At 39.2% G+C, this 7,190-nt stretch overlaps 2 annotated features.

Annotated features, from left to right (window-relative positions):
• Positions 3,665–4,201: an enhancer, noted in NCBI's record as "H3K27ac-H3K4me1 hESC enhancer chr6:117432047-117432583 (GRCh37/hg19 assembly coordinates)". NCBI's record gives its function as "activates a minimal SCP1, AML or CMV promoter by ChIP-STARR-seq in naive H9 embryonic stem cells {active_cell/tissue: H9 hESC(naive)}" and the evidence as "EXISTENCE:reporter gene assay evidence [ECO:0000049][PMID:30033119]".
• Positions 4,202–4,740: an enhancer, noted in NCBI's record as "H3K27ac-H3K4me1 hESC enhancer chr6:117431508-117432046 (GRCh37/hg19 assembly coordinates)". NCBI's record gives its function as "activates a minimal SCP1, AML or CMV promoter by ChIP-STARR-seq in naive H9 embryonic stem cells {active_cell/tissue: H9 hESC(naive)}" and the evidence as "EXISTENCE:reporter gene assay evidence [ECO:0000049][PMID:30033119]".

The following is a 7,190-nucleotide window of genomic DNA, read 5'->3' as shown; positions in this document are numbered from 1 at the left end:
ATGGAATGTTTTTTCATTTGTTTGTGTCCTCTTTTATTTTCTTGAAAGTGGTTTGTAGTTCTCCTTGAAGAGTTCCATCGTGTCCCTTGTTAGTGTATTTCTAGGTATTCTATTCTCTTTGTAGCAATTGTGAATGGGAGTTCATTCATGATTTGGCTCTCTGATTGTCTGTTGTTGGGGTATAGGAATGCTTGTGATTTTTGCACATTGATTTTGTATCCTGAGACTTTGCTGAGGTTGCTTATCTGCTTACAGAATTGTGGGGCTGAGATGATGGGGTTTTCTAAATATAGAGTCATGTTGTCTGCAAACAGAGACAATTTGACTTCCTCTCTTCCTATTTGAATATCTTTTATTTCTTTCTCTTGCCTGATTGCCCTGGCCAGAACTTCCAATACTATGTTGAATAGAAGTGGTGAGAGAGGGCATCCTTGTCTTGTGCTGGTTTTCAAAGTGAATGCTTCCAGCTTTTGCCCACTCAGTATGATATTGGCTGTAGGTTTGTCATAAATAGCTCTTATTATTTTGAGATATGTTCTATCAATACCAGGTTTATTGAGAGTTTTTAATGTGAAGTGATGCTCGATTTTATTGAAAGCTGTTTCTGCATCTATTGACATGATCATGTGGTTTTTGTCATTGGTTCTGTTTCTGTGATAGATTACGTTTATTGATTTGCATATGTCAAACCAGCCTTGCATCCCAGGGATAAAGCTGACTTGATCATGGTGGGTAAGTTTTTTGATGTGCTACTAGATTCAGTTTGCCAGTATTTTATTGAGGATTTTTGCATGGATGTTCGTCAGGGATATTAGCCTGAAGTTTTTTTTTTTGTTGTTGTGTCTCTGCCAGGTTTTGGTATCAGGGTGATACTGATCTCATTAAATGAGTTAGGGAGGAGTTCCTCCTTTTCAATTGTTTGGAATAGTTTCTAAAAAAATGGTACCAGCTCCTCTTTGTACAGCTGGTAGAATTCAGCTGTGAATCCATCTTGTCCTGGGCTTTTTTTGGTTGTAGGCTATTTATTAGTGCCTCAATTCCAGAACTTGTTATTCGTTTATTCAGGGATTCGACTTCTTCCTGGTTTAGTCTTGGGAGGGTGTATGTTCAGGAATTTATCCCTTTCTTCTAGATTTTCTAGTTTATTTGCATAGAGGTATTTATAGCATTCTCTTATGGCATAGTATCCTTGTGGGGTCAGTGGTGATATCCCCTTTATCATTTTTTATTGTGTCTATTTGATTCTTTACTCTTCTCTTTTTTATTAGTCTAGCTAGTAGACTATCTATTTTATTAATTTTTTTAGAAAAAACGGTTCCTGGATTCATTGATTTTTTGAAGGGTTTTTTTTGTGTATCTAACTCCTTCAGTTCCACTCTGATCTTAGTTATTTCTTGTCTCCTGCTAGCTTTGGGGTTTGTTTGCTCTTGCTTCTCTAGCTCTTTTAATTGCAATGTCACAGTATCTATTTGAGATCTTCCCAGCTTTCTAATGTGGGCATTTCGTGTTATAAATTTCCCTCTTAACACTACTTTAGCTGTGCCCCAGAGATTCCGGTACATTGTCCCTTTGATCTCATTGGTTTCAAAGAACTTCTTGATTTCTGCCTTAGTTTCATGATTTACCCAGGAGTCATTCAGGAGCAGGTTGTTCAATTTCCATGTAGTTGTGTGGTTTTGAGTGAGTTTCTTAATCCTGAGTTCTAATCTGATTGCACTGTGATCTGAGAGACTGTTTGTTATGATTTGAGTTCTTTTGCATTTGCTGAGGAGTGTTTTACTTCCAGTTATGTGGTTGATTTTAGAGTAAGTGTCATGTGGTACTGAGAAGAATGTATATTCTGTTGTGTTGAGGTGGAGATTTCTGTTGATATCTATTAGATCCACTTGATCCAGGACTGAGTTCAAGTCCTTAATATTCTTGTTAATTTTCTGTCATGTTGATCTGTCTAATGTTGACAGTGGGGTTTTAAAGTCTCCCACTATTATTGTGTGGGAGTCTAAGTCTCTTCGTAGGTCCCTAAAACCATGTTTTATGAATCTGGGTCCTCCTGTGTTGGGTGCATATATATTTAGGATAGTTAGCTCTTCCTTTTGAATAGATCCCTTTACAATTATGTAATGCCTTTCTTTGTCTTTTTTGATCCTTGTTAGTTTAAAGTCTGTTTTGTCAGAGGCTAGGATTGCAACCCCTGCTTTTTTCTGCTTTCCATTTTTTTGGTTCTCAAGTAAATCTCTTCCCTTTATTTTGAGTCTCTGTGTGTCTTTGCACATGAGATGGGTCTCCTGAGTACAGCACACCAATGGGTCTTGACTCTTTGTCCAATTTGCCAGTTTGTGTCTTTTAATTGGGGCATTTATCACATATACATTTAAGATTAATATTGTTAGGTTAATATTATTATTTAATTTGATCCTGTCATCATGATGCTAGCTGGTTATTTTGCACATAGTTGATGCTGTTTCTTCATAGTGCCATGGTCTTTATATTTTCATGTGTTTTTGCAGTGGCTGGTACTGGTTTTTCCTTTCCGTACTTAGTGCTTCCTTCAGGAGCTTTTGTAAGGCAGGCTTGGTGGTGATGAATTCCCTCAGCACTTGCTTGTCTGTAAAGGATTTTATTTCTCCTTCACTTATGAATCTTAGTTTGGCCAGATATAAAATATTGGGCTGAAAATTATTTTCCTTTAGAATGTTGAATATTGGCTCCCACTCTCTTCTGGCTTGTAGGATTTCTTCTGAGAGATCCAGTTAGTCTGATGGGCTTCCCTTTGTAGGTGACCTGGCCTTTCTCTCTGGCTGCCCTTAACATTTTCTCCGTCATTTTGACATTGGAGAATCTGATGATTATGTGTCTTGGGGTTGATCTTCCCATGGAGTATCATAGTGGGGTTCTCTGTATTTCCTGAATTTGATGTTGGCCTATCTTGCTAGGCTGAGGAAGTTCTCCTGGATAATATCCTGCAGTGTGTTTTCCAACTTGGTTCCATTCTCCCCATCTCTTTCAGGTACTCCAATCAGTTGTAGGTTCGGTCTTTTTACATAGTCCCATATTTCTTGGAGGTTTTGTTCATTCCTTTTCATTCTTTTTTCCCTATTCTTGTCTGCCTGCCTTATTTCAGCAAAATAGTCTTCCATCTCTGATATCCTTTCTTCTGCTTGATTGATTCAGCTATTGATACTTGTGTACACTTCACGAAGTTCTCATGCTGTGTTTTTCAGCTCCATCAGGTTATGTTCCTCTCTAAACTGATTATTATAGTTAGCAACTCCTCTAAACTTTTACCAAGGTTCTTAGCTTCTTTGCATTGGGTTAGAACCTGCTCCTTTACCTCAGCAAAGTTTGTTATTACCCACTTTCTGAAGCCTACCTCTGTCAATTCGTTCATCTCATCCTCCGTCCAGTTCTGTGCCCTTCCTGGAGAGGTGTTGCAATCATTTGGAGAAGGAGAAGTACTCTGGCGTTTTGGGTTTTCAGGGTATTTTTTTGTTGTTGATTCTTTCTCATCCTCATGAGTTTGTCTAGTTTTGTCTTTGAGGCTGCTGACCCTTGGATGAAGTTTTTGTGAGGACTTTTTCTTGTTGATGCTGCTGTTGTTGCTTTCTGTTTGTTTTTGTTTCAATAGTCAGGACCCTCTTCTGTTGGGCTGCTGCGTTTGCTGGGCATTCACTTCAGGCCCTATTCATCTGGTTCACTCCTGCACCTGGAGCTGTCACTTGAGAAGGCTGGAGAACAGCAAAGATGGGTGCCTGCTCCTTCCTCCGGGATCTCTGACCTTGAGAGGCATCAACCTGATGCCAGTAGGAACGCTCCTGTATAAGATGTCTGGCAATAGGTCTCACTCAGTTAGGTGGCACAGGAAGCAGGACCTGTTTAACAAAGCACTTTGGCTATCTCTTGGTGAAGGGGGTGTGCTGTACTGTGGGGAAACCCACTCACCTGGGCTGCCTTAATTCCTCAGAGCTAGCAGGAGGAAAGACCAAGTCTGTTGGTCTGCAGAGACTACAACCACCTCTCCCGCTATGGACTGAAGCCCATGGAGATCAGAGTTCTGTCCCTGAGACCCTGGCTGGAGTGGGAGTTTCTACATGGAGGCCCTGCAGCTTCAGGGTTGGCTGCTGCCCCTCCCCCAAGGAGCTCAGATGGCTTAGACAGCAGGCAGACACAGCAGTGGTGATGGCTGCTCCTCCCCCAGGGAACTCAGCAGGTTTAGGCCAATTCTAGCCCAGTGGCTGTTGAGAATCTGCATGGCTCTGTGGTTAGGACCCAAGGACCCGGTGGCGTGGACTCACGAGTGGGATCTTCCAATCCTTGGGTTGCACAGTTCCGTTGAAAAAGTGTGGTTTCCCAAGCTGGGTAGCACACTCACTCACCGCCTCCCTTGGCTGGGGTGGAGGCTCCCCTGCCCCATGTGGCTCTCAGGTGTGCCACCTCACTACACTGGTCTTCCTTCCTCTCCATGGGTCATTTCAGGTGCCTAGTCAGTCCTAGTGACAGAACTTGGATACCTCGGTTGCCATTGCAGGATTCACACACTGTTTTGGATCTTTTCAATGGGAGCCTCTGATCACCTCTCCTTCTAGTCAGCCATCTTGGCCCTGTCCCCAACTTTGGTATTTTATCATCACTTATATTCAGCCTTTCTGAAGCAGCAGCAGCAGCTGAAGATACATACAGCATGCATAATCCCCAAATGTATACATAATCACCAGTTGGCTTGAGTAACCCCATTGTCTATTGAGGAAAAAGATGGGTGGAGCTGGGCACTGCCCTGATTAAGGGACATGAAAGCAGGTTGTGCACATCAATCAAAATGTGGATGTGGTATGGATTGTGTTGTTTTCCCAAAGCACACTCCGAGGAGTATCTTAAGCATTTTTACTCATTTTTGTTTCCTCAACTAGCAATGGAAAGAACAAAGAAATGTGACCTTGTTGATATTGGCTTCCTTAGAAGAAGCTGAAATATATGTAGACCCAAGTAATATTTTTATTTCTTATTTGAGGCACAACCTTAATGAATTCTTAGATTTATTCTGGAAAAGATTTGAGATTTTTTTTTAAAAGGATTTGTTTACAGTTTAGTCTAGAAGGTTTATCTTCTAAAGGAAGGATTTAGCACATTTATTGAAGATGAGGACAAATTTACCAGCCTAATCTACAGCAAGACAACTAAAATTTGAGGTTTCAGGAGGGTAATATCCAGATGTATTCACATACTACAAAGGATACTCTATGTGGCAAAGAAAGATAAATATCAATGTGCAGTATTTCTCTAGAGAAAATGCAAAGAAGGATAGCTATCATAACTATGTCCATAACTGTGTATCTTAATTCACGGTGTAAAAACATAAAGAAAATTCAAAGATTCTTTAGGGCATGCCAAGGTGATGAGCAAATGAATGACTGAATGAATAAATGTTACTGAAAAATTTTCATAAGCTTTTTAATGAGGAACCCTAGAAAAACCCTGATGATCAGAGACTCTTTGACATCATCAAGCAATAATTTGTTCTTTCAATGGGAAGAAAGCTCCATTCAAAGAATTTCTTTCTTAAAATATAGGCTCTATATCTCCACAGGAGAGAAAATATGTCATAGTTATAAATTTCATGATAAAAACTGCCCTTTGTTTAGAAATTATACTGGCTTACATTCCATCCATTTCATAGAATTAAAAAAATTTTCCTATGTCTTAATACTAAGTTAGGCTGATACCTAGAACCCATAATGTCTGCCCTGAAGGGACAGTAACAAAAGAAATTAAACTACCTCTCTCCTTTGGGACAATTGCCAGGTATCCTTCATAAACTTTGACTATAGGCTGCACAGAATTCCTCTGGATTTTCTCATTCCCAGAAGAACCATGATAGTGGGAACCCCAGAGCTAACCAGAAAATTGAATTCCATCTTCAGCAGAGGGCTGGAAGCAATGAGTGAATATTTTCATGTTGGTTGTAATTATATTTTATAGAAAACAAAGGACTTATGAAATCCCTTTACTGGCTTTTGCCTTTTTTAATTTTTAATTTTTTTGGGTTACATAGTATATATATATATTTATGGGGCACATGAGCTATTTTGATACAGGCATACAGTGTGTAATAATCACACAAGGATAAATGGGATATCCATCACCTCATTCATCATTTCTGTATGTTATAAACATTCTAGTTGCACTACTTCTATTATTCTAAAATGTACAACAAATTATTGCTGACTGTAGTCACCCTATTGTGCTATCAAATACTGGTTCTTATTCATTCTATCTAACTAGGTTTTTGTATCTATTAACCATCCCTGATCCCCTCCACTGCCCCCACTACCCTCCCCAGCCTCCAGTAACTACCATTCTACTCTATATCTCCATGAATTCAATTGTTTTAATTTTTAGCTCCCACAAATTAGTGAGAATATTCAAAGTTCATCTTTCTGTGCCTGGCTTATTTCAATTAATATAATGTCCTCCAGTTCCATTCATGTTGTTGCAAATGACAGGATTTCATTCTTTTCTATGGCTGAATAGTACTCCATTTTGTATATGTACCACATTTTCTTTATCCATTCATCTGTTGATCATCACTTAGGCTAATTCCAAATCTTGGCTATTGTGAATAGTGTTGCAATAAACATGGGAGTGCAGTTATCTCTTTGATATATTGATTTCCTTTTGGGGGGGTATATACCTGGCAGCTTCAGCCTTTTGATGTCCTGTAATTTCCATCTCACTACAATGAATAGAACCAAATGAAGGCCTACCATAATTTTAAGGTTTAGGAAGTCTTTAATAATAATAATAATAATAAGGTTTAGGAAGTCTTTAAATAATACATGACCAGTATTTAATGAAATCGGACCTGTCTTCTTGATATGCATTTCTTTTTTTTTTTTTTTTTTTTTTTATTATTATTTTTTTTATAAATTTTTTTTTTTTTATTATACTCTAAGTTTTAGGGTACATGTGCACATTGTGCAGGTTAGTTACATATGTATACATGTGCCATGCTGGTGCGCTGCACCCACTAACGTGTCATCTAGCATTAGGTATATCTCCCAATGCTATCCCTCCCCCCTCCCCCGACCCCACCACAGTCCCCAGAGTGTGATATTCCCCTTCCTGTGTCCATGTGATCTCATTGTTCAATTCCCACCTATGAGTGAGAATATGCGGTGTTTGGTTTTTTGTTCTTG

This window comes from Homo sapiens, chromosome 6, assembly GCF_000001405.40.
Source record: "Homo sapiens chromosome 6, GRCh38.p14 Primary Assembly".
NCBI classification, from domain to species: domain Eukaryota; kingdom Metazoa; phylum Chordata; class Mammalia; order Primates; family Hominidae; genus Homo; species Homo sapiens.
This window is presented reverse-complemented; position numbering and strand designations above follow the sequence as displayed.